At 40.8% G+C, this 25,652-nt stretch overlaps 2 protein-coding genes and 1 long non-coding RNA gene across 116 annotated transcripts in view, besides 5 other annotated features; all 3 read left to right on the forward strand.

Moving 5' to 3' along the window:
- Window positions 1-24,484, forward strand: part of SNRPN (small nuclear ribonucleoprotein polypeptide N) — a 155,087-nt gene extending 130,603 nt beyond the window's left edge. For 59 of the 112 annotated variants that reach the window (NM_022807.5, NM_022808.5, NM_001400637.1 and 56 more), the window contains 9 exons: window positions 7,875-7,970; window positions 13,693-13,843; window positions 20,072-20,217; window positions 21,119-21,270; window positions 22,066-22,177; window positions 22,638-22,790; window positions 23,539-23,677; window positions 23,954-24,079; window positions 24,168-24,484. In NM_022807.5, the coding sequence (NP_073718.1) occupies window positions 20,215-20,217; window positions 21,119-21,270; window positions 22,066-22,177; window positions 22,638-22,790; window positions 23,539-23,677; window positions 23,954-24,079; window positions 24,168-24,205 (723 nt within the window). In that variant the 5' untranslated portion in view covers window positions 7,875-7,970; window positions 13,693-13,843; window positions 20,072-20,214 and the 3' untranslated portion in view covers window positions 24,206-24,484. Of the gene's footprint in view, window positions 1-747; window positions 1,073-2,060; window positions 2,251-4,498; window positions 4,630-5,085; window positions 5,227-7,874; window positions 7,984-10,097; window positions 10,197-12,789; window positions 12,914-13,692; window positions 13,844-19,203; window positions 19,516-20,048; window positions 20,218-20,402; window positions 20,719-21,118; window positions 21,271-22,065; window positions 22,178-22,637; window positions 22,791-23,538; window positions 23,678-23,953; window positions 24,080-24,167 lie in introns of those variants that run through there. The other 53 variants (NM_001400649.1, NM_001400743.1, NM_001400693.1 and 50 more) reach the window with 38 other exon arrangements.
- Window positions 1-25,652, forward strand: part of SNHG14 (small nucleolar RNA host gene 14) — a 595,855-nt gene that overhangs the window by 130,632 nt on the left and 439,571 nt on the right. Inside the window, exons 5-13 of the long non-coding RNA NR_146177.1 lie at window positions 7,875-7,970; window positions 13,693-13,843; window positions 20,072-20,217; window positions 21,119-21,270; window positions 22,066-22,177; window positions 22,638-22,790; window positions 23,539-23,677; window positions 23,954-24,079; window positions 24,168-25,403. This is a non-coding gene — a long non-coding RNA (small nucleolar RNA host gene 14). The remainder of the gene's footprint in view (window positions 1-7,874; window positions 7,971-13,692; window positions 13,844-20,071; window positions 20,218-21,118; window positions 21,271-22,065; window positions 22,178-22,637; window positions 22,791-23,538; window positions 23,678-23,953; window positions 24,080-24,167; window positions 25,404-25,652) is intronic.
- SNURF (SNRPN upstream open reading frame) lies at window positions 748-24,484 on the forward strand. Of its 3 annotated transcripts, NM_005678.5 has the most exons (10): window positions 748-823; window positions 7,875-7,970; window positions 13,693-13,843; window positions 20,072-20,217; window positions 21,119-21,270; window positions 22,066-22,177; window positions 22,638-22,790; window positions 23,539-23,677; window positions 23,954-24,079; window positions 24,168-24,484. In NM_005678.5, the coding sequence occupies exons 1-3, from the start codon at window positions 810-812 to the stop codon at window positions 13,796-13,798; spliced, it is 216 nt and encodes a 71-aa protein (NP_005669.2). In that variant the 5' UTR covers window positions 748-809; the 3' UTR covers window positions 13,799-13,843; window positions 20,072-20,217; window positions 21,119-21,270; window positions 22,066-22,177; window positions 22,638-22,790; window positions 23,539-23,677; window positions 23,954-24,079; window positions 24,168-24,484. The 3 variants fall into 3 exon arrangements, with proteins under 3 accessions (NP_005669.2, NP_073715.1, NP_001381263.1); NM_022804.3 differs by lacking the exons at window positions 20,072-20,217; window positions 21,119-21,270; window positions 22,066-22,177; ... (2 more) ...; window positions 23,954-24,079; window positions 24,168-24,484 and adding an exon at window positions 14,556-14,582; NM_001394334.1 differs by lacking the exons at window positions 20,072-20,217; window positions 21,119-21,270; window positions 22,066-22,177; ... (2 more) ...; window positions 23,954-24,079; window positions 24,168-24,484 and having other exon boundaries at window positions 13,693-14,582.
- Window positions 1,163-1,728: an enhancer, noted in NCBI's record as "NANOG-H3K27ac-H3K4me1 hESC enhancer chr15:25200549-25201114 (GRCh37/hg19 assembly coordinates)". NCBI's record gives its function as "activates a minimal SCP1, AML or CMV promoter by ChIP-STARR-seq in naive H9 embryonic stem cells {active_cell/tissue: H9 hESC(naive)}" and the evidence as "EXISTENCE:reporter gene assay evidence [ECO:0000049][PMID:30033119]".
- Window positions 1,729-2,294: an enhancer, noted in NCBI's record as "H3K27ac hESC enhancer chr15:25201115-25201680 (GRCh37/hg19 assembly coordinates)". NCBI's record gives its function as "activates a minimal SCP1, AML or CMV promoter by ChIP-STARR-seq in naive and primed H9 embryonic stem cells {active_cell/tissue: H9 hESC(naive and primed)}" and the evidence as "EXISTENCE:reporter gene assay evidence [ECO:0000049][PMID:30033119]".
- Window positions 2,119-2,278: an enhancer, noted in NCBI's record as "active region_9161". NCBI's record gives its function as "activates an Ori minimal core promoter by ATAC-STARR-seq in GM12878 lymphoblastoid cells {active_cell/tissue: GM12878}" and the evidence as "EXISTENCE:reporter gene assay evidence [ECO:0000049][PMID:35858748]".
- Window positions 2,295-2,860: an enhancer, noted in NCBI's record as "H3K27ac hESC enhancer chr15:25201681-25202246 (GRCh37/hg19 assembly coordinates)". NCBI's record gives its function as "activates a minimal SCP1, AML or CMV promoter by ChIP-STARR-seq in primed H9 embryonic stem cells {active_cell/tissue: H9 hESC(primed)}" and the evidence as "EXISTENCE:reporter gene assay evidence [ECO:0000049][PMID:30033119]".
- Window positions 2,549-2,598: an enhancer, noted in NCBI's record as "active region_9162". NCBI's record gives its function as "activates an Ori minimal core promoter by ATAC-STARR-seq in GM12878 lymphoblastoid cells {active_cell/tissue: GM12878}" and the evidence as "EXISTENCE:reporter gene assay evidence [ECO:0000049][PMID:35858748]".

Here is a 25,652-nt window from a genome sequence, read left to right on the forward strand (position 1 = left end):
AGCTATCATTGATTATTGGTAAAAATTTTAATGTATCCAATTCTAATAGGCAAAGAAAGGCTCTCCTACTTAGATCTTAGGTGGGGGTCTAAGTTCATATTTTTGTTTTACAAAAATTGAATAGCCAGTGTTTTTGAGTTGAATGATCTATCCATTCCGTATAGGAGAGTTTAATTATATTGTGATTTTGGGGGAGATAATTTTCACAATTTACCCCCTCAAAATGTAGAAAGTAGAAAAAGGGTAGAAAAATCGCACCAAATTTGAACAATGTAGCATGCTTTTAGAGTTAGGGATATTTTCTTTTGGAAGGATTTCAAGTCTGGCGTATTTGCATTGATTGTGGTTATGGCGCATTTAACTTTTCCAAACCAGCTTTTTTGTACCGCACATAGGAAGACCTGAGGGTGAGTGTAAATTAGGATTGTTTGGCCAGTGGTGTGTGCAAAAATTTATTGTAGAACCAAGAATTATTTCTTTAGTATTTTACACATTTTAAAAAACAGGTAGACATGTCCATTGATCCCAGGTTGCTTATGGTTTCTAGAGGCCCCCTCTCATTGCAACAGTGCTGTGGGGCCCTAGGGGTCCAGTAGCCCCCTCCCCCCAGGTCATTCCGGTGAGGGAGGGAGCTGGGACCCCTGCACTGCGGCAAACAAGCACGCCTGCGCGGCCGCAGAGGCAGGCTGGCGCGCATGCTCAGGCGGGGATGTGTGCGAAGCCTGCCGCTGCTGCAGCGAGTCTGGCGCAGAGTGGAGCGGCCGCCGGAGATGCCTGACGCATCTGTCTGAGGAGCGGTCAGTGACGCGATGGAGCGGGCAAGGTCAGCTGTGCCGGTGGCTTCTCTCAAGAGACAGCCTGGGGAGCGGCCACTTTTATTCATCAGATATTCCAAGTTTTTAGGACTTGGAGTACTGAATAAACGGAATTTGGGCCCTAAAGTCCTTTGTTCTGGAGAACCAGATCCGGAATGTTCAGAGGCTTGCTGTTGTGCCGTTCTGCCCCGATGGTATCCTGTCCGCTCGCATTGGGGCGCGTCCCCCATCCGCCCCCAACTGTGGTGTCGCGACAGGTCCTATTGCGGGTGTCTGCGGTGGGAAGGGCGGTGGTGACTGGGAGCATGCGGGGTAACCGCAGTGGGCAAGGGACATGGGTGGAGGTGGGTACATCAGGGTGATTGCAGTTCCGTGTGGCGAGGGTACGTGGGGGGACCAGTGCATAGGGATTTTAGGCGGAGGTAGGTATATTGGAGTGATTGTGGCGGGGCGAAGGTACGTGAAGTGATCGGTATTTAGGGGGTGTTGAGCGCAGGTAGGTGTATAATAGTGACCACTGCGTGGTGGAGCAGGGTACGTGGGGCGACTGGGGGGGGAATTCGTCGCAGTGACCGAGGCGAGGAGGCTATGGCAGTGGACCAGGGGGATGAGTCGGTGTGACAGTGGTGGGGGTTGTGTTGGTGGTCGCGGCGCGGGGAGAGTCCGTAGGAAGTGGCTGGGAGGTAGGGGGAAGGCGGCGACAGTGGGTATTGGCGGCGGTGGGCATTGGCAGCGGGTAGGCATGGCGGTGGTGGACTTTGGCGGCGGTAGGCATGGCGGCGGTGGGCATGGCATGGAGGCGGTGGGCATGGCGGCCGCGGGGCCTGTCGCTGTCCGGAGTGACTAAGGGACGCTGAATGATTGCTGTGTAGAGGAGGGGGCATCAGAAGGGGCAGTAGCACAGTCCGCAGCCTTTAATTTTCCTGTGACCTGCGATGGTCATCTGGTTTGCCTACTGTGGTGGTGGTGCTTTTTTATTAAAACTGCGCAATGCCTACACTGCCGCAGGGGCTGCAGAAATGCGTGGAATCCTTGCGTACCCTTTAGGAACCCTCGCTTTAGAGGCTATGGCATAAGAAGACTGGAATGATGTGCAGAACTTGCATTTACAGATCTTTTGACTGATAGGCCAGGTGATGCCTGGGGGTTACTTTTTTTTCATTGTTTCTCTCTGTTGGGAACCAGGTCTTGGAAGGCTATGTCGAAATAACCTGGGGGTCTGTGTTGCGTCACTGCCATTGTGCAGCTCCTTCAAGATGGCCGCCGCTGCAGCGGCTTAGATCTGCGCAAGCGCTTCAGCGGGGGGGTGGCCGCTTCCTCCCTGTAGAGCCGCCAGTGGGGAGGGGGCAGGTGGTGTGTGTTCAGCTTCTGCTGTTTCGGAGTTTCAGCCGTACCCTCTTTAGGGTGCAGTGGTAAGGAGAGGAAGCCGGCCAAGGTGGGCGGCTGCCCCCTCCCCAAAGTGCTGCTTGGGAAAGGATGCAGGTTGCGCAGACGCAGCAGAGGTGACAGTCGCCTCCGCTTGCAGTGGGGCGAGACGTGGGGCAGGGGAGCGAGGGCTTACGCAGCTTTTGCCTGGAAGGAATGGCAGCCCTCCCCTTCACCTGGCTGATACAGCAGCTGTTCCTTTCCGGTTGTGGCGCAGTAGAGGGGGGAGGAGGGAGATGGGTTGGCGCAGGCTCCGCCTAGCAAGCTTGGCAGCCACCCCTTACCCACGGTGCAGCAGTAGAGGACTGGAGGGGAATGTGGCTAGAGGCCAGGCATTTGTACCACCTCCGCCTGTGTGGGATGGCAGCTGCACTGGGCTACTGCTTTTCAGCTCTGCAGTAAACTAGAGTGGTGGCGGCCTGGAGGCCATCAAAGGTGCAGCCACCCCAAGACCTGCTGTGCTGTTTCAGCAAGCCTCCATTAATGATAGAGATTTTAAATTGGTTTTCTGACTCCCTGGAAAATCGTACCTTTTCATTTTTGTAGTTCCTCTCTTGGTTGTATTGTGCGCTAATTCTCTATTTTCAAACTGGACTTGTTAACCCCTTTTTTTTAACTCCCTGTAGTCTTTGATTTCCATTCGACACATTTAATAAATGTCACCATTTAAGATTCAGTTATCCTTCTTAATCTCTGGATAGTCCATTCTGATGCACTGCATACTTTCCTTAAATGGGTTGGGGGAGAGGACATCGTGATGGCTCTTCCCGACTAAGGTTGAAAGGTGTTTCAAACACTGGACCTCTTCATCTTCTGGGAGTTGAAAGCTGCAAGTTTTGTGCTCAAAGAGAATAAAAGAGAAAAGTGGAGACAATCTTATTGGGGTGGGGTTGTGCTTTGGATCAGTTACTGTCTTTTTTTGGATTTTTAAATTAATGATCATTTTTGAAGTTGGAGCTACTACAAAAATTTGGTGAGAAAGGTTAATGAATAACTGCATTTTTATATTCCAGTACTTTTTTAAAAAATCATTTTATTCTAAGGATTTTGTCTTCCTTTGCAGGATTTTCAGTGCTTGCCTTTTCTGTATTTACATTTTCCCTCTATCATAACTGGTATGTCTGGTTGCACTGAGTTGTAATTAACAGAAAAGTTAAATCTACGAAGCCCGAAAAGCCTTGTTCTGGAATAATCTATTTTTGGGTAGTTTTAAAAATAGCAGGAGTCTGGGATTTTATATGATATTTATAATTTACCCTTTTTTTTCTGCTTGCATGAAGATAGCAGTTCACATACATATATTTCTTGGTTTAACTTCTGGTCATTTGGCTATTTGCAAGCTGAGTATTTAGTCTGATCCGCCATTTTGTAGTCTTGCATTCAGGCCCGGGATCCTAATATGGCAGATCCCTTTGGAAAGGCCTCTTGAAGTTTCAAGGTCTGTGTCCTACTCAGTGAATTGGCTCTGTGCTAGGGCTTTTTGGAGGCAGGGAGTGGCAGCCCTTCCTGTGATGCAGAGGAAGGAAGCTTGGTTGAGAGACCCTTATGTTGTTGTCTAAGGCAGGGTACTAACTGATTTGGATTTATTCACAGACCTTGCCTTATCTTGATTTCACTATTCTATCTGACCAGTGTGTCATTGCCGAAATGTTTTCCACATTTATAGTTACTCTGTATCTTTATGTTTCCCTTACCCTGTTCCTTTTCCTAATAAACATCTTTGTTTTACAAAAAATTTTGTTTATAAGGTGTCAAGGATGCCAAGATAACCTCCTTTGTTTATCAGCGCCCTCTGTTTAGCTATTTTTTAGGAAGAATCATTTAAGCAGGTTGTGAGTACTGCCCTCAATTACTTGGACAATGAAGTTTTAAAAATCTTATTTAGACCTGTCACTGGTCCTGTCTCCTTTTTTTTTTTTTTTGTGGCCCAGGGCCAGAAAGCTTGAGTGAGAATTGTTACTACTTAAGGTAGCCTCTCTCCATTTCTGGATGCTAGCTGGCTCAAAGTTTTTTTTTTTTTTTTTTTTTTTTTTTTTTTTTTAAATAGACCAGGGTCTCCCTATGTTGTCCAGGCTGAACTCGAACTGCTAGACTCAAGCTATATCCTCTCCCTCCTCAGTCTCTCTCTGGCCACTGTGGCTGGCCCAAATTCTCTTTTTGTTAATTCTCCTCAGATTTGTTTTGGAGGCAATGAGGTTTCTTATATTCATGGGGTACAGATTAGCAGCCTATCATTAACCTTATTTTTTTGTTTTTAGGAGACAGGGTCTGGCTATGTTGCCCAGGTTGGAGTGCAGTGATGCAGTTATAGCTCCCTGTAACCTCAAACTCCTGGATCAATCTAGACTCCTGCCTCAGCCTCCCAAGTGCCTGTTAGTACAGGCTTGAGGTACTGTGCCCAGCTAACTTTTTATTTTTTTGTAGAGAGGGGTCTCCTTATGTTGCCCAGACTGGTCTCGAACTCCTGGACTCAAGCAGTGCCCCTGCCTAGGCCTCCCAAAGTGCTGGCATTGCAGCCATGAGCCGCTATACCTGGCCAACTTTGTTTATTTTTATTCTTGAGATCTTAGTTAAATTTTATGGAAAATTTAGGCCGTAATAAAATTGGGATTCCATTGCTTTTTGCTTTTCAATATATTTCCGGATTATTACTTTCAGTGTAAGTGATCTGAGGGCAAACATTTAACACCCTTTCTATATGATGATTTTTTCATGATGTCCTCAGTTTCATAAAATGTTGGTTTCTGTGTTGGGGATGCAGTTAGATAAATGCATGTGTGTGTGTATCTAGAACATTCAATAAAGTAGTGTTTTCAAAATCTTATAGATGACATTTTATATGTAGATTAAAAATAAGTAGATTTAAGCCAGGTGCGGTGGCTCATGTCTATAGTCCCAGCACTTTTGGAGGCCAAGGCAGAAGGATCACTGGAGCCTGGGAGTTCAAGCTTGGGTATTGAGACCCCGTCTCTACATTTAAAAAAAGGTAAATTCAGAAAGTTGAAATAATAGAATATTTTGGTTTGATGGCTATTTCCTCAGTTGACCTCAGACCTTTCATATTGAGCAACTGCCGAATGGGTTCTTTTTGTTTTTTGGTAAGACAGTGTTTGCAGTTGTACACTATTAGATTAATCATGGTTTAGTTGATAGTTTCTTTAATTGTATTATATTAAGGTACTACATTATTAGCTGTATTTGTGTGCCCACCATAATGTAGCACTGATCAGTACTAAATTCCTTTTTATGGCTGAAAGACATTCGTTTGGATATATCATATTTTCTTCATTCGTAAGTTGATGGACATTTGAGTTGTTTCCACTCTTTGGCTATTATGAATAATGCTACTAGGAACACGTATAATACGTTTAATACAAAGAATTAGTTTCACAAGGTTTTACTTAGCCCTCGTATATGCCAGGTTCTTGAAATTTTGTCTTTTTGGAAGTATGAGAGTAGTGGTAGCTGGGAAGGCTGCAGGTATAATAGAAAGAACATGAACTGTCTGGGCATGGTGGCTCATGCCTGTAATCCCAGCACTTTGGGAGGCCGAGGTGGGTAGATCACCTGAGGGCAGGAGCTCGACATCAGCCTGGCCAACATGGTGAAACCCTGTCTCTACTATAAATACAAAAATTAGCTGGGTGTGGTGGTGCATGCCTGTAATCCCAGCTACTTTGGAGGCTGAGTTTGGGTCTTGTAATATTACTTCATCTAGCAGTAGAGTTAGTGTCATATGTTACTTTCATGATTAACATTTTTAGGAAGTTGGCAAAGTCTATATATAACACTTTATGTTTCCACCAGCAGTTTCCCCACATCCTTTACAAATATTGTGGTGTCAGATGGTGGCATTTCAGTGGGGGTTTTTTCATTTTGAGGCAGGGTCTGGCTCTGTCACCCAGGCTGGTGTGCCAGTGGCATGATCTCAGGTCACTGCAACCTCTGCCTCCTAGGCTCAAGCGCCCTCTCACCTTAGCCTCCTGAGTAGCTGGTACCACAGGCATGCACCACCACACCCAGCTAATTTTTGTATTTTTTTGTATAGATGTTGCCCAAGCTGGTCTCCTGAGCTCAAGTGATCGCTGGCCTCAGCCTTCCATGAACCATTGCGCCCTGCCTCATTGGGATTTTGATTTGCATTTTTTAGTGACTAATGTTCAGCATCATTTCATATAGATTAGCCACTTGTATGTGTTTGGAGGACTGTCTATTCAAGTGTTTTACCCATCGTAGCAATAGAATTTGCCCTTTTATTGTTGAGTTGTGAGAGTTCCTTACATATTCTGGATACCAAACTTGAAAAAATACTTTTTTGAGGTGTGAGTGACATACAAAAGCTGTAGATAGTTAATGTTAAAAGTTGATATGCTAAGAGATAAGTACATGCCTTTGAAATCATTCTTATCAAAATTAGTGGCATAAATGTGTCTGTCACCTGAAAAAGTTTCTTTGCCTCTCCCTACCTTCTTTTTTTTCATTGTTTGGATTTTCTTTTTGTTTGTTTTGGATACTAGAAACTTAGCTGTATGTTAAGCAAATATTTTTTCCTATTCTGGTTATCCTTTCACTTTCTTTAGTGTTTTCGGAACTTTATTTTTTGATGAAGTCCACTTTATTTTTTATACTGCTTGTAATTCAGGTGTTATATTTAATAGACCATTGTGTAATCAAAAGTAATAAACATTATCAGTGTATAAAATTTTACCATTTAGAAATCAAATATGTGTGTATGGCTTGATTAGAACATTTAAACTCTTGAAAGAATAAAACAGCTGTGCGTTATTGGTAAGCTATTTTACCAATCTAAAAGTCTAACATGACTTAAAAACATCTAGGGTTCAGAGAATTATTAATAGCTTTTGGCATGTATCTTTGAATTTTGCTTTTGAGATATTACTTGTGTTACTTTAGTGAAAGGTCCTGCTGACCTTTCTGATTTATCATCTTTAAAGGTTCATAGGTGGTTTCTGCAGTCCCTAATATGGCTAGTCTGGTGTGGGATTTCATGTTCTGTTCCCTTGAGCAGCCATTTTATGAGGGGTTCTGCAGACGTAACATGGCGGGTTTTTTGTTTGTTTGTTTGTTTTTGCTATGTGGATAGTTTTTAGCTTGAGCAGCTCTTCTATTGCTTTGCAAATCCTAAAGAAAGCACCATTTGCATGTTTTTTTAAAGTAGATATTTTATAATTTAAACTATGTTCTATTCCACTATATAAGTATGTCTACTGTATCCTAAAAATATTTTTTGAAACCATTTTGGAAATCAGGTTTACTGTTTTTGGGGGGAAGGTGAGTAGGGTAGTGGTGGTATGTATGTATCTACATCTGCATAAGTGGGAATTTTATATGTACGTGACTACAAATAGAGGTAGATATATTATTTTAATTTCATTTTCTGATTTTTTTTAAAACCAGATTTTCTGATGTCATGGGCTTCTAAAAGGAGAAAAAAGTGGTTATAGCATAGATTATGACTGTTTGAAGGTTAAAGATCTTGTAATAATTTTACCTTGTTTTAATTAGATTTAAAAATCCATTATATTAAATGTAGTTCTAAATATAACCTTGACAAATAGTTATTTCATAGATTGATGCAGTCTACCAAACAAATGCCTCTCTTTTCTGTTTCAGGGATCGCTTACACCTGAGACGAACTACAGAACAGCACGTACCAGAGGTGGAAGTCCAAGTCAAACGCAGAAGGACTGCCTCACTGAGCAACCAAGAGTGAGTACAGACTGTGTTGGGAACAAATGCAAGTCAGAATCTCCTTTCAGATTAGAACAAAATATCATGCAATGAGGGGATTAAAATGAACATAATTGAAGAAGCAGACACATCTAATACAGAAGATGTAGTAAAAAAGCAATGAAATTCTTAACCATATTATCCTAAAATAATTCACCCTCTTAAAGATTTTAGTATAATTTTCTTTTTTCCTATACGTGGGTAAGTGCATTTTATCTTTATAAAATTTTGTAATTACCCTTCAACATAAGCATACTTAAATTTTTCTGCATTATTAAATCACTTTGTATGCTTGCAAAATGTACTGTGCGCTGAAGTGATTAATTTACATATTCATTCTTGCTCTGTGATATTTAGGTGTTTGTTTTTGGTTAGTGCATTTATTCTGTTAAAATTTAAAATACATTTGTGTTTTTTATCCTGTTTTAAGTATATATATGTGGAATGTATATATAGGATGTATACACAGACACACTCAGACACATATTTTAATTTAGATTTCTAGAAGGGAAATTTTAATTAAAAATAGGTGAACATTTTAAATGACCTAATACATATTTAGTCCACATTGAAACTTTGGCATTTTGTCATTGCCATTAAAATTTTGATGGCATTAAAATTTGATGCCATTAAAATTTTGATCAGTAGGTAGCATTTTTTTCTTAGCTACAATTGTTTTTTTTAATTATAAGTATTAAAAATTCATGAAGATGATTCTTTTTGTAAAACAGTTTTGCATAAAAAGTAAGTCTCATTTTAAAGCAACTACCAACTTAACTGGCCTTTTCCTCCCCAGAGATAATCATTAAGTAAATAGCCATCAGACCTTGTCCTATGCATTGTGTGTGTAGTGGGGAGAGAGGAAGGGAGGACATGGGACACATTTGAAGTTTGTGTGCATACGACACCGTGCTGTCTGTATTTTGACAATATGTCTTGGTGATCTTTTCATATCAGTACACATAAATCTACCTTATTTTACAAAGTGTGCGTGGTGTGATAACATTATTATTGTAATCGTTAGCTTGCTGCTGGATATTTAGTTTGTTTGCATTGTTTGGCTATTAACAATGAAAAGAACAGTCACTTTGAAAACGCAGTGTAGGCCAGGCATGGTGGCCCATGCCTGTAATCCCAGCACTTTGGGAGGCTAAGCCAGGCGGATCACAAGGTCAGGAGTTCGAGACCAGCCTGGCCAACATGGTGAAACCCCGTCTCTCCTAAAAATACAAAAATTAACCGAGTGTGGTGGCACGTGCCTGTAATCCCAGCTACTTGGGAGGCTGAGGCAGGAGAATTGTTTGAGCCCAGGAGACGGAGGTTGCAATGAGCTAAGATGGCACCACTGCACTCTAGCCTGGGTGACAGAGCAAGACTCCATCTCAGGAAAAAAAAAAAAAGAAAATGCAGTGTATGAATACTAATTTATTTTATTTTTTTCAAATTAAAGGTTTTTCCTCATAGTAAAAACTGAGTAGTAGTTTGTGTGTCTTTTGTTATTTCCTCATTTTATATGTGAAAAGTTGAGCTGGATGTGGTGGCTCATGCCTCTAATCCCAGCATGTTGGGAGGCTGAGGTGGATCACTTGAGCCCAGGAGGTGGAGACCAGCCTGGGCAACATAGAGAGACCTCCTCTCTACAGAAAAATAAATTAGCCAGGCGTGGTGTTGTCTACCTGTAGTCTCAGCTACCTGGGAGGCTGAAGTGGAAGGGTCACTTGATCCCAGGAGGTTGAGGCTGCAGTGAGCCATGTTTGTGCCACTGTACTCCAGTCTAGGTGACAGAATGAGATCTAGTCTCAAAAAGAAAAAAAAAGTTGTAAAACATCTGTTAGCAAGTTTTAAATTATGGTGAGGGTAAAGATTTTTTTTTTATTTTTTCCTATTTATTTTGCCGATTTTTACTATAGTGAGTATATTTAAGTACATTTTCATTTTTTAAAATTGCTTTGGAAGACGTATTTTATGTACGTTTTGTTTGTATATTGGTAAATATTTTGAAAGTATTTTGTGTAATATAATTTGTCCTTTATATATAATAGGTTATTCGATCATTCATTTTATTTGATATGAAATCTCTTTTTTCATCTCTTCATTCTTTTTGAGACGGAGTTTTGCTCTTGTTGCCCAGGATGGAGTGCAACCTCCGCCTACCAAGTTCAAGTGATTCTCCTGCCTCAGTCTCCCAAGTAACTGGGATTATAGGTGTGTGCCACCATGCCTGGCTAATTTTGTATTTTTTTAGTAGAGACAGGGTTTCTCCATGTTGGTCAGGCTGGGCTCGAACTCCCGACCTCAGATGATCCGCCCGCCTTGGTTTCTTTCCCAAAGTGCTAGGATTACAGGTGTGAGCCACTGCGCCCAGCCTCTCCCTTCATTCTTTTGCAGCTCTGACGTTTTTTTAAAGTGCCATTACTATTCCCTGAGTTTCTAGAGGTAGTTCAGAGATGGTGGTGGAGGTAGGGCTGAGGTTTAGGACTCTTAGGTTTAGGACTGTTAAGTGGGTGAAGGTTCTATCTTGCTATATTTTTGTTACAGTTTTTTTCCTATGTAACCTCAGTGTGGACTAAATAACAGGTAGTCTCATCCTCATCTTGTTGTGGGATGACGTTAGCCTTCTAGGCATCTTGTCCATATTTATGGAAACATTTTGATGGTTTTGAAGAAGAAATAACTTGAGTTTTTCTTATCTGCACTGCATATATATGTACAAATACTGCAGGGTCTTGAGTTGGGGGAATGATCTGAGTAAAGTGTAGAGTTAGGGAAATAGTATAATTTTTCCCCCTTGTGCGTTTTCATTTTGAGAGTAATTGGATTATGGAATGGGTAAGCAGGATTGGTTAACACTGCCTCATTGTCCATGTGTTTAGGATTCTCAGGATTGGTATACTTAGAATGTTATACTAGAAGTGTTCAATATTTACCCATTCATCTCCTACTTCCTACCAAATCATAAGTAGTATTGGGAGGCAGTCTTCCTGGAGGAGTTGTGTGGTTATTAGCCCTAAAGATCAATGAAGGAGGCTGGGTGCGGTGGCTCACGCCTGTAATCCCAGCACTTTGGGAGGCGAAGGTGGGCAGATCACCTGAGGTCAGGAGTTCAAGACCAGCCTGGCCAACATGGTGAAACCTCATCTCTAGAAAAATAAAAAAATCAGCCGGGTGTGGTAGTGTGCACCTGTAATCCCAGCTACTCAGGAGGCTGAGGTGGAAGAATCGCTTGAACCTGGGAGGCAAAGGTTGCAGTGAGCCGAGATGGTGCCATTGGCTGTGCCTGGGTGACATAGCAAGACTCCATCTCAAAATAAAGTAAAAATAAAAAGTTCACTGATTTATTTTAAATTTTTTATTCTGTCTTTCAGTGTATTTGTCACTAAATTAGCTCTTATTCTTTGGGGCTGGATGATGTATCGTGAGTTCGAAGGGAAATTGGAAATTGGAGCTGGAGAGTTGTCTTAATATATTTTATGCTAAGCTTCACATGTCTTTTCAAATTAATATTCTGCACTCTATGAATTAAATTCTGTGTAGGCTGCCTCATTTTCTCAGTCTTTAATCTTCTATTGGGTTACAGGTTAGATCTGAGGGGGACATTGCAATAGAGAATTATCTTACGTTTCAAGATAACATTATATATATTTTTTTTTACTGAAACACTTTTTAGACCTTTATGAATAATAATCAGAAACTTAGTTGTCATTTGTAAACAGAGGTTAGAGTGGAGAATGCCCAAATTAAGATTTATTTATTCAGTGATTAGACTATGAATTAGAGTATAAAGTAGACTATGAATTAGAGTGTGAAGATTTAGAGGTATGTGCAGTGCAATTCTGACTACTTGGAGTTAGTGCAAATTTCACAGTTGTCTAGATGCCCTCCAGAACATTCCCCTCAATGCAGACACCAACTCCAAGCTCCAGGGTTGGCAGGGCACCCACACTTCCGACCAACAGTCTATAGATTCTGAGGTCCTACTATTTTCTCAGACTTTATAATTGACTAAGGTTTTATAAATGACTAGTAGATCTCAAGAAAGTGCTATACTTACTAGTTTTTTTTATAAAGGATACAAATGAACAGATGCATAGAGCAAAATCTGGGCAGGTCCCACACAAATCTTCCCTGTCCTCAGGATGCATTACCTGCACATTAGCGTATATCACCAATCAGGAAGCTCACCAGAACTCCAGATGTCGATGATTTTTGTTGGGGATTCATTATGTTGACAAGATTGAATCACTGGACATGTCACTGAATTCAGTCAGCAACTCTCCTGCCCTCCCAGGAGGGCTTGCTCAAAACCCCAACCCTTTAGTCTTTGTTTGATCTTTTGTGGCCTGGTTAGTCACCATCTTGAGACATCTCATTACCAAGAACTCAGGTGTGATCCTAGGGACCCACCTTGAGTAACAAACACATTTCTTTCACTGGGTAAATTCCAAGGATGTATAGGATGTATAGGTTACTTCCCAGGAACCAGGAGCAAAGGCCAGTTAAATTCTTTATTATACAGAAGCAATTTTAAAATGTTACTGAAAAACCATAGAAAAAAGTCCAATTTCCAAATCCTTACATGCCAACAAGGGCAGCATTGTTGGTGATCCCCCAGCTCCTCACCTCAAGGCAAGCTGTCATTTCCTGTATGTCTTCCTTCTCATCATCAGATTTCACAGCCAGGTTACTGATTCATAGGGGTATGTCGAGGGCTTTTGTCTGGAATTCCCTGCTTACCAGTAGATGATTGGTTTACATATTTTAAGAGCCCTTAAATAGCCCTGGAAGTTCTATATTTCAGGTAGTGACTTGTCAGGAGGATCAATATGAAGGACGGCCTAAACATCTCCCTGCAAATGCTTTAGCAGCATCTCCCTCCCCTCACCCCTGGGGAGAAAGGATTGTTCACACAGGATAATTTGAAAGTGAGTGACTATATATGGTACTGATGGTGTTTCTTCAAGGCTGCCAGCTCTTGTGTTTTTAGTTCTTTTGGAAATATTTCTAGACTTGGTAAGTATCTTAAGTATCCACTAGTCCCTTGTACAATCTCTGTGTAGAGATTCCTGTTTTGTGTTATAATTTCTCATAAGATAGTGTCATCCTCTGACCCTAAAGAAAGATCTTCTTCCCTGGGCGTGGTGGCTCACGCTTGTAATCCCAGCACTTTGGGAGGCCAAAGTGGGTGGATCACCTGAGGTCATGAGTTCCAGATCAGCCTGGCCAACATGGTGAAACCCCATCTCTACTAAAAATACAAAAAAATTAGCCGAGAGTGGTGGCAGGCACCTGTAGTCTCAGCTACTCGGGAGGCTGACACTGGAGAATGGCGTGAACCCAGGAGGCGGAGCTTGCAGTGAGCCCAGATCGTGCCACTGCACTCCAGCCTGGGCGACAGAGTGAGACTCTGTCTTAAAAAAAAAAAAAAAAATTAGCTGGGTGTGGTGGTAGGTGCCTGTAATCCCAGCTACTTGGGAGGCTGAGGCAGGAGAATCACTTGAACCCCGAAGGCAGTGTTTGTGGTGAGCAGAAATTGCTTCATTGCACTCCAGCCTGGGCAACAGAATGAGACCCTGTCTGGAAAAAAAAAAAAAAAAAAAAGGAATATCTTCTTAAATGTAAGGGTACCTAGTTTTCTTTCATATGGTTTCCTATAAAGACAAATGTATTTTTATCATTTATATATATTGTGCTCTTGTTGTAGGTGTCAGTTGTACCCGAGGCGTTCTCAGCAGCAGCAAGTACCTGTGGTGGATTTCCAGGCTGAACTGAGGCAGGCATTCTTAGCTGAGACACCAAGAGGTGGTTAAAGCCATATTGGAGTAGCGAGGAATCTGATTCCAAGCAAAAACCAGGTTAGAGCTAATGCAGCAATGATCAAGAATAAAGAATCATTAAAGAATGGGGTGTTGGGGGTTCTCTTAATTATCAGTGACACATTAATTTTTTTCCTTAGAGCTTCATACAATAAACACATTGCAGAAAGTTTTAGAAAGTTTTGCAGGACCTTAAATTTTCTGCCCTGACACTTTCGTCATGTTTCTGTATTCCAGTTATTGTAGCGCATGCTTTTCAGGTAGTTTTCTTTTGCGTTTTTTTTAATTATATAAAAATATTTCACTATAAATGGCTCTTGAATACCCTGTTACTGAATGTTTATAATTTCCTTTTGTGGGAGGTGTCATTTTTTTCTGCCAGTAGTTTGAACAAAGCTTTAGTAGATAGCTTTGTATAAAACTTAGAATAATTTTTTCAAATATGCAGATGTGAAAATAAATTGAATCAAGGAATATGAACTTAAGGTACATTTTTCTAAATTATATTGCAAAGTATTAAATTAGTATTCATTGCTTTCGAAAAATAAAGGGCCAGTTACAACATACTTTCACAGCATTATTTTAATTCAAATATGGTTTATGTCAGTGAATTATAAATACACAGCACATAATTAACAATGAGTATTAGAGAATCTAAATACTTTCTCATGCTTATTTACTAATTCCTTTTTGTTTTGTCTTTTTCTCACTTTTCTGTTTTAACCAATGTATTTCCTCTTTGAATCAGCAGACAATGTAATAAAAATATTATTCATAATTTTTCAATGTGATGTAGATTTATTTAGTTCTTTTTATGTTGCTTTCATTTTTTAGGAAAAAGTTATTACAAAGTCGATTTTGATTTGTTTTCTTGTTTTTCCTCTGTGATTTTTCTTTTTTTCTACTTTAAGTTTTAGAATGCCCTCATTTCTGAGAGTTTACTATTTACTTTTTACAAAGTAAGAGCAGAGAGGAATTGGGTTTACTGATAAATTCCTTCTAGCCTTTTTTTAAGTCTGTTTTTGAAGTATTATCCTTCAACTTGAATCAGTTAGGCTTGTTTATGGCCACCATTTTGAGTTATTAATTAATTTATTTATTTAGAGATGAAGTTTCACTCTGTTGCCCAGGCTGGAGTGCAGTGGTATGGTTTCGGCTCACTGCAACCTCTGCCTCCCAGGTTCAACTGATTTTCCTGCCTCAGCCTCCCAAGTATCTGGGATTATAGGCACCCACCACCACACCTGGCTAATTTTTGTATTTTTGGTAGAGACGGGGTTTCACCATGTTCTCCAGGCTGGTCTCAAACTCCTGAACTCAGGTGATCCACCTGCCTTGGCCTCTCAAAGTGCTGGGATTACAGGCGTGACCTACCGCGCCCGGCCCATTTTGAGTTTAAATCAAAGGAGACAGAAATTTTCTGAGAAATCCTCCTTTCTTGAATCCTTTATACACAACATTTTCTAGCAATTGCATAAGCAAATTGGAATCTAATCATTGTCCAAAGCTTTTCCCTTGAGTAAGGGAATTTTTCATTGAATAGGTGTGCACAACTGATTTTTTACTTTTTAGGAATTTTTTAGCTTCTCAGTTCAGTTCACAGATTTTTGTAAATTTTTAAATACAACATTTAAGTCATACATTATAGTCTGCAAGTAGGACCATCTAATTTTATGATACTTAATTATATCTTATTCTAGTCTCAACTGCTAGTTCTACCTAAATAGTACCCATTACTAGTATTCCTGTAGAAGAAGGGTTGGTAATATATCTGGACCACTACCTGTGTCTATAAATGAAATTTTATTGGAACACAACTCAGTTCATTTATTATGTTATCTTTGGCCACATTGGTGCTACGGTGGTGCAGCTTTGAGTAGTTGTGACAGATTGAATGACAGGCAAAGCCTAAAATACTTAGTATCTTGCTATTTAAAAGAAAATAATTGGCTGAGTTTTATTTTAGAGGAGCAGATTGAAAGAAGAAAACACCAAAGTGGGGGCCAGTCAATATAGTCATAATGTCATAGAAGGTGATAAAGAATAGATTATAGAAGTATATACGAAGTATACATTACAGCGTAGACAATCAGATGAATTTCTTGGGGAAGGGATCAGTCTAAGAGTCATGTTAAAGTCTGCTGTGGAGGAAGATGGGTAGTCTTTAACAACATTTAAACACTTCGTACCCGTTTTCATTAAAAATGTAAGGCACACGATGGCCAGGAAAAATAAGAAAATAAACTATTAATGTGGCCGGGTGTGGTGGCTCACGCCTGTCATCCTAGCACTTGGGGAGGCTGAGGCAGGTGGATCACCTGAGGTCAGAAGTTCGAGACCAACCTGGCCACATGGCGAAACCCCATCTGTTCTAAAAATACAAATATTAGCCGGGTGTAGTGGGGGACACCTGTAATCCCAGCTACTCGGGAGGCTGAGGCAGGAGAATTTCTTGAACCCTAGGGGCAGAGGTTGCATTGAGCAGAGATTGTGCCACTGCGCTTCAGCCTGCGTGACAGAGCAAGACTTCTATCTCAAAAAAAAATTGTGTTATGAATATTCTGTTTTTCTTTGGTACCTAAATATTTACCAGGGTACATATCCAACTGGATACCTACCTAGTAGTTGGGATGCAGGGTGTAATATTAGTATGACTTTTAAACGTTTTTGTTACATTGTTTTCTAAACACATCATGAGAAGTGCTGATGGCCACTAAAAATTAGTAGACCATTAGTTTCTCAGTACCACCCTTTGTATTCTGGTGTTTTTTTGTTTTTGTTAAATAAACCTTTCCAATAAAGGAAATTTGTTTTCTTGTGTTTTTAATTGGAATTATTGTGTATTAATATTTTGCATTTAGTTTTCTTTTGTCACTTGTTTTTGCATACTCTTCGATGGAGGATCTCTATGGAGACCCTCTATAATTTTAAATTTTAACAGATCAATACTGATATTCCATGGTGTGTCTCATTTGCTATGTGTGCCTTGGCCAACCCTAGTCATCTTATTTTACTATTTGCTATGTGTGCTTTGGCCAACCCTAGTCATCTTATTTTACTTTTGAATTAAAGTAGATTTACATTTTTATGTAGTTTAATCATTTGAAAGTCTACAGTTTCCTAAAGTTTGAAAACTTGTGCTTCTGTGAGGGATACCAGTTCGTTAATTTGCTTATGTGCCCTTTGATCTCAGAAGATACACTATGACTGCTCATCCATCCTTGCAGTGTGATGTTGCTACTCTCGTCGCCTTTCTCATGAAGTTTTGTTTTCTTGTGCTGTAAAGATAAATTTGACCACTCTGCAGTGATTTATTTTCTTCTTTCACTTACAAGGTCATGACTACATTGTATCACATTTAGGGATGAGAGAGAACTGTTTCTAAATTCCAAATCTGTCTCTTAAGGGAATCCTTTTAACTGCTGTAGGAGGTCAACTCCTATTGTGAGTAAAACATATATCTCTTCTAGCTATACAGGTTATTATTATATTATGATATATATATAAATATAAAATAATAATCTGTCCCTAATTCTCTAGGTCTTCAGTTCTTTGGGCCATAACTCACATCCCTAGATGTGTTTCATACCTCTGGACCGCTAAGCTTGTGGGAGTTATTTATATCCTATTGCTCAAGGTCATTGCCAAGGTCTGATTTTTCACAAAAAAATTCCAACCTCTGGCATAAATGGGTTAAAAACGGCTTTAGTGATGTAGTGCTGATAAACATAAAATTCACCCAATTTAAGTGCATGAAGCAATGATTTAAGTAAATTTACAGAACTGTGCAATCATTGCCATGAACTACTCTGGAAACATTTTCATCACCACAGTAAGATCTGTCTTGCTCATTCACAGTCATGATCCTTGTTGTCTCTTTGGATGGCTGAAGGTCCCAAGTGTTGCAGTGCTATAAAAATGGATATTGCTGGCTGGGCGCAGTGGCTCATGCCTGTAATCCTAGCACTTGGGGAGGCTGAGGCCGGCAGGTCACCTGAAGTCAGGAGTTCGAGACTAGCCTGGCCAACGTAGCGAAATTCCTTCTCTGCTAAAAATACAAAAATTAGCCGGGTGTGGTGGCGGGCGCCTGTAATCCTAGCTACTCAGGAGGCTGAGGCAGGAGAACCACTTGAACCCGGGAAGTGGAGGCTGCAGTGAGCCGAGATCACTCCATTGCACTCCAGCCTGGGCAACAGAGTGAGACTCTGTCTCAAAAAAAAAAAAAAAAGGATATTGCTAATGAGTCTCATATACCATGTTTTCTTGGATTTAGACTGCTTTATAAAGAATCATAAGATAATATTCAAAACTTCTAAGTTATAGTCCTTAAACTCTTACTCATATTTAGGACAGAAACTACATTTAATTTTTGTGGAGGTCTTTGTTTGCTTATTTGAAAAGTTCTTTTGAGATCTTTATAGGTTTTATTTAATACATTTTTTAATGTACAGACATCAGATTCATGGCCACTGAATGACAGCCAGGCATTAGAGTATTCTTTTTTTTTTTTTTTTTTTGAGATGGAGTTTCACTCTTGCTGCCCAGGCTGGAGTGCAATGGTGCGATCTCCGCTCAAAAAGATACTTTTGAATCCTTTTCAAAAGTAATTTGTGTTTCATTTTTTAATTAGTATGATAAGCACTTCAAGACCCTTTACAATTCTGGCTAGATTTGGTTGCCATATTTAATAGCATTTTATAAATAATGGAGAAAAGGGAAACATTATGCATGCTTGATTACGGTCATGAGCTGCATTAACAATTCCGTTCAACAACAGACTGCATATGTCAGAGCAGTCCCTTAAGATTACAAAACCATGTTTTCATTGTGCCTTCTCTCTCTTCCCCACCACCCCCAACCCTGAGATGGAGTCTTGCTCTGTTGCCCAGGCTGGAGTACAGTGGTGCCATCTCAGCTCACTGCAAACTCTGCCTCCTGGTTTCAAGCGATTCTCCTGCCTCAGCCTCCTGAGTAGCTGGGATTACAGGCGCCTGCCACCACACCCAGCTAATGTTTGTATTTTTAGTAGAGATAGGGTTTTCGCCATGTTGGCCAGGCTGGTCTTGAATTCTTGACCTCAGGTGATCCGCCCACCTCGGTTTCCCAAAGTGTTGGGATTATGGGCGTGAGCCACCACACCCAGCCTCTTCTCTGTTTAACATTGTATTGTGAGTGTTCATAGTATGCAGGATAGTAACATGATATACAGGTTTGTAGCCTAGGATCTACCATATTGCCTAAGAGTATAGTAGACTCTGTGTATCCTCTAGGTTTGTGTAAGTACACTGTTCATACTGTGATGAAATCACCAAATGCATTTCTCCTAATGTGTCCCCATTACGTGACTTATTTATTTATTTTGAGATGAAGTTTTGCTCTTGTCCCTCCTTGTTGCCCAGGCTGGAGTGCAGTGGCGCGATCTCAGCTCACTGCAACCTCTGCCTCCCAGGTTCAAGCGATTCTCCTACCTCAGCCTCTCAAGTAGCTGGGATTACAGGCACCCACCACCATGCCTGGCTAATTTTTTTGTATTTCTAGCAGAGACGGGATTTCACCATGTTGGCCAGGCTGGTCTCGAACTCTTGACCTCAGGTGATCCACCTGCCTTGGCCTCCCCTGGTGCTGGGATTACAGGCGTGAGCCACCTCACCCGGCCGTTAACGTGATTTATAACTTTGTCCTTCATTACTTGATCTATGAAAGTTGTTTATGTGAGTCTATATATATATATTCCATAGTCATGTGTTCTCTTTTGACATGGGAAGTCTTAGGCAGGTTTATAACACACTTGGCTCTTAGTGGGGAAAGATTACCTGCCATCATCTTGAAGCGAATTTAGGGGAAGAAAGAATATTGCAAATGACAACATAGGTATTTCAGAAAAAAGGAAAAATCTGAATGAAAGAGTAATTGAGATGTTGATACAGAGATGACTTCATATTAATTCTGAACTAGAGAGAGAGACACTACCTTAAATAAGGATGGAAAGAAAAATACTAAATTTGGGAAAATGACGCTTAGTTTTTGAAACATTTAGGAATTACTAGGTAAAATAAAATTCAATGACTTTCATCAGTCCTAAGTGTGTCAAATGTGAGAGTTAAGAATGAGGGACTAGGGAAATGTGGCAGTCCCTTGGTGAGGAAGCTAGTATGAGAGGAAGGATGTTTTTGAACGTGTCTGTCATAGTGATTTTCATGCAAAATTGTCTGCCTGTTTTAAAACATGGTAGATTGCAGTGCAGCTTTAACATGCTTTCCTCTGCAGGCTCCATCTACTCTTTGAAGCTTCTGCCCAGCTTGCATTGTTTCTAGGAGAACCTGCGTCATACCTTTATCTATAGCCTTCCCCTAGGTCTTCAGAAGCATCAAGTTTTAACTGTGGACATTGGATTTGGTGGAACAGCAATCATGGTAAGCTGTATGATAAGGCTGAGGGTTGAAATGTGCTGTAAGGGCCGAAAGAAATAGTTTGCCAGCATGTGCAGTGATCTTGGGTTCTGAATGTTAGAAATAAGGATACATCCATGGATATGGATTCTCATTGCATTGAGTATCAGCTGAAGATGAGCTGATTTTTTTATTTTTATTTTTTTCAGACGGGGTCTTGCTCTGTCTCCCAGTCTGGAGTGCAGTGGTGCGGTCTTGGCTCACTGCAACCCTGGGTTCAAGAGATTCTCGTGCCTCAGCCTCTTTATTAGAAACAGGGTTTCACTGTGTTGGCCAGGCTGGTCTCAGGCTCCTGACCTCTGGTGATCCACCCACCTCGGCCTCCCAAAGTGCTGGGATTACAGGCATGAGATGAGCCACTGTGCCTGGCCATGAGAAATGTTTCATGATGTGAGAAAATACAGGAGTTTTTGGTCATGATTCCACCAGTGGTGAAGGACTGTCCTGCAGATGATGGACTCTCAGGTCAGATTACAATAGAAATAAAGAGGGCTTTGAAAATGGAAGGGTTTTGGCATTAACAGTACAGAGAAAAGCAGTCTGGAGAGAGAGAACACCCTACATCATTGTGGTTTGGTTTACTTAGGGGAGTGGACAGTTTAGAGCATGCATCGTCACAGAGAAGGATAATCACCTGTAAGGAGGTGAAAATTGGTTCTTGAGATGTGAAAAAATACTTCATAATCCTTTGTGGTCCTCCAAAGAGCCATACTAAATATGGAAGAATGTTGGTGAAAAAGGAGAGAATATTTGTTTAGTTAAGGAAACCAGGCTTAGATTATGTAAGGGTGGAGAAGAAACAGGAGAAGATTAGAAGACTAGGGTGTTGGCAAGCTGAACATGACTCTTGTCTTACTGCTTCTAGACTGTTGGCAAGAGTAGCAAGATGCTGCAGCACATTGACTATAGAATGAGATGTATCCTGCAAGATGGCCGAATCTTCATTGGCACCTTTAAGGCTTTTGACAAGCATATGAATTTGATCCTCTGTGATTGTGATGAGTTCAGAAAGATCAAGTAAGGCTGATTTGGGCAAATGGGGGTTGGACACAGAGGCAGTGGGAAGGGAAGGCCAGAGCTGGAGTAAGGGATTTCCGAGGGTAACTGAAGTAGTTAGGGAAACTATGGTAGAGCCAGTCTATTGTTTAACCTCTTGACCTGATCTCTGAATTAGGTCAGAGTCTGCATCTGAACTCTTTTAAGTTTGTAAAACAATCATGGATTTATTACTGGGAGTAAAAGTATATGCTATGGTCAGAATACTCGTATTTATTTTTAAAATTGAGAAAAATGCTATATTAATTAATTGGTTGGCTTCTGCAGCAGTCTTAGACCAAATCTTGGTTGAAATGGAGAAGAACAGTTGTTCTTCATGGTTGAGGAGTTGGGATATGGTTGCCATTTGGTATCCTCTCTTTGCCTATCACTGTTCCCATTATTTCAGTTCTGTGTCACCTGTCATTATGATTTAATTATTTAAGTAATTTTTTAAAGAAATTTCCATTTTAATGTGGAAACCCAGGTTTCAATTTTGTTTTTCTTAAAAGGTATTTCACAAAAGAAATTAGTCTTGTTGTAGTGTAACATCAAAGGAACATTCTGTAAAAGACTAAAGTTAGATTAGAAAATAGCTTCACTATTTACCCTTGTATATTAACTGTGTTTACAGATATTTTTTGGCTTGTTTTTCAGTGATAACTCAGTAAATGTTTAGCATCAGTTGTCTTAATTGATACTTGAGGTTGTATAAATATTTTGATGAGTGAGTGATCACTAAAATTTATCTCACTAAAATTTAATTCTGATTTGTAGGCCAAAGAATGCGAAGCAACCAGAGCGTGAAGAAAAGCGGGTTTTGGGTCTGGTGTTGCTGCGTGGGGAGAACTTGGTATCCATGACTGTGGAGGGGCCACCCCCCAAAGATGTAAGGAAGATGTAGGGCAGGACAGAACTTTAATTTGCAGGGACATCATATTATGTGAGATGTCTGAAATCAGGGTAGAGCAGACACAGTTCAACATGGATTGTCAAATAAAATGTGCCAGGCACTTAATATCAATTGTTGGTTGCCTATGCTATTCGGGATTAGGGGATTTTTGGTGAATTATTCTATGTGCTGGGCATTACCTAGGTAAGGGTAGGAGTTGGTGATTCATGTTTGCTTGGTATGTTTATAAAAGAGGTGTTTTCACAATTTGACAAATAATGTGCATTTTATACACAAGATACCTCCATGGTATACTTGCTTGTTTGTTCATTTGGACACAGAACTAATATGAGATAGGTGTCATGGGAAAATGGTGGAGAGAAGTGATCTCTGATGAATAAGAATACTGAGAACTTGTAAATTGTTTGATTTTAGGCTATGAATTTTCTTGTTTCAGACTGGCATTGCTCGGGTACCACTTGCTGGAGCTGCTGGAGGCCCTGGGGTTGGTAGGGCAGCTGGTAGAGGAGTACCAGCTGGTGTGCCAATTCCCCAGGCCCCTGCTGGATTGGCAGGCCCTGTCCGAGGAGTTGGGGGACCATCCCAGCAGGTGAGGAACCAGCAGAGGGTTTTATATTATTGGGAGAATATGACTAAGCCGGAGGCCGAGGAGATTTAAAAACCTAAGTGTATGTGTCATACAATGTAAACAGCATATGGTTTAGGAGGAACCAAAACACAGATATATGGGAGGAAGGGAATAAAACTAGCTGCTTAAAATGGTCATTGGGTGATTAAAGTTACCCAGGTTACTCTTGGCAAGAGTAACTTGCCACTAGTGGTGAGTGAACAGAATGCATGGATATACCACAGTTGAAAAGACCAAAGGGCTTTTTGGATGTCAGTGTACTAAGATTAGTTTTTAAAATATGGGAATAGGCCGGGTGCAGTGGCTTACGCCTGTAATCCAGCACTTTGGGAGGCCGAGGTGGGCAGATCACTTGAGGTCAGGAGTTCGACACCAGCCCGGCCCACGTGGTGAAAACCCTATCTCTACTAAAAATACAAAAATCAGCTGTGTGTGGTGGTGGGTGCCTGTAATCCCAGCTACCAGGCAGGGAGACAGGAGAATCGCTTGAACCCAGGAGTGGGAGGCTGCAGTGAGCTGAGATTGCGCCATTACACTCCAGCCTGGGTGACAAGAGTGAAACTGTCTCAAAAAAAAACATGGGAATAATGAGAGAAGTACATTGCAACAGTTGTTTGTAACTAATTGGTCATTTTTCTCATTTATTTTCTGTGTTTGAATAATGTGAAGGTTTGCATCGCTTTGACTGTTTCCCGCCCTGCCTTCTCAGGTAATGACTCCACAGGGAAGAGGCACTGTAGCAGCTGCTGCTGTTGCTGCGACTGCCAGTATTGCTGGAGCCCCAACACAGTACCCACCAGGACGGGGCACTCCGCCCCCACCCGTCGGCAGAGCAACCCCACCTCCAGGTAAGGGATTGGTGAACACGAAGACGAACTTGAATCTCTGATGAGAGATAGCTTACTGATTTAAGACACAGCCTGAGAGCCTAAGAATTTGGGGAATATGCTTCCTTCTTCTAGATACTGGTTTTTAATGAAAGACATAGAAGAGTAATTGTCATATAGAAGTTATTTGACTCTATCATTGTTGTCTGGCCCATTTCTTTAGGGATTATTTGGGCTAAATTCTAACTTTTCTAAGCCATTTTATGAGGCCTTTATTTCTACCATTTTTCACTGTAGGCATTATGGCTCCTCCACCTGGTATGAGACCACCCATGGGCCCACCAATTGGGCTTCCCCCTGCTCGAGGGACGCCAATAGGCATGCCGCCTCCGGGAATGAGACCCCCTCCACCAGGCATTAGAGGTGAGTGGGAGCATAGGGGTTTGATGGTTCAGCCAGGCCCCTGAATATGTGTATCCTCTTTTTCTCAATGTTTCTATTTCCTTTCCAGGTCCACCTCCCCCAGGAATGCGTCCACCAAGACCTTAGCATACTGTTGATCCATCTCAGTCACTTTTTCCCCTGCAATGCGTCTTGTGAAATTGTGTAGAGTGTTTGTGAGCTTTTTGTTCCCTCATTCTGCATTAATAATAGCTAATAATAAATGCATAGAGCAATTAAACTGTGAGGTACTGTTGTATATATTTTTTTGCCTGTTGATTTTGATGAGATCTTAAGTTACTGTGGATGAGGGTGATGCCTATTAAGCAGTTGATTCAAATCATATTCTCTTTAATTCTTAGGATAAAAAGGTTTTCTGCTATCTAACTTTCACTTTGTGCATTGACTGGTGTTGGTTAATAATGTTTTCATGACCCGGGGGTTTAAGTGGTTGTGCTGCTTCACACATGGCCTCCTGCTTCTCATGTTGCTATGTCACATTATCTGAAGGGAAGTGGGGATGGGATGAAAGGCCTTGTAAGGCCACCTATATACTGAAGGAAGTTGTAGTGAATCACAGTCCATGCTCATTACATATCAAGGCATTTGAAATAGAAGTTACTCTTTTTCTTGGGATGTTGACCTCAGTTGATCAGGTTTTACAGTGTCCTATGATCAGAATAGAGGATGTGATACTGGAATAATCATTTTCTACCATTGAGTAAGTATTTATTTATAAATTACTAAATGAGTGGAAGATCCTGGGTACTGGGAGGCAGGAGGTTGCATATTTGAGTTGATAAGTTGTACTACTGATAATAAAGATAACTGACACACTAAAACATACTTGGTACACTGAAATACAAATTACGGTTATGTCCAGTGGTATCACCAAGTGACAAACTGGGAGCTAAATAGTTCAGAAATGCCCTAGTCTCTAGGTCCAGTTTGAATTGGTTATGGAACAAAGAAGCCATTTATAAAAGGGAAGAGATTTTTAGGTTTTGCAGCTAAGGTTTATAGTAGGCAGCGAGGGAATGATTCATAGTGATTGTAGCAGTTGGTTTACCAAGCACTAAAGAGATTGGTGTTAACTCCATAATACTGATAGACTGATTGGAATTACATTTTTTCTCTTGAATTTACCAGGAGTGGTTGTGAATGTCACCTTTTCCATCTTTTAAATTACATCCTTGCAGGTGGTAATCACTCAAGGAAAAGGAATTATCAGAGTAACAATAGTTCCTGTTACTGACTTGATATGGTCTCTGCCAGAATAGCTTCTCAGATTAATGGCCACTCTCAGGTAAGGAAAATAAAGAGGCGAAGCCTTAGTTGCTTTAGGAGATGATATAATACAGGTGTGACATCAGTGTTTTCAGAATTTGTAAATGTTAAAACAAACTTCTTGATTTACCAAAGCCACAACCAAAGTACTTTACCTGGATCTTTCAAGACAGAGCTTCTCAGTTCAGACAAATTGACTGATGATAAGACAAACACTTTTCCTCTACAAACCGTGGGGTAGTATGTAGAGAGACCTGTGATTTCTTCC

Source organism: Homo sapiens, chromosome 15, assembly GCF_000001405.40.
Source record: "Homo sapiens chromosome 15, GRCh38.p14 Primary Assembly".
NCBI classification, from domain to species: Eukaryota; Metazoa; Chordata; class Mammalia; order Primates; family Hominidae; genus Homo; species Homo sapiens.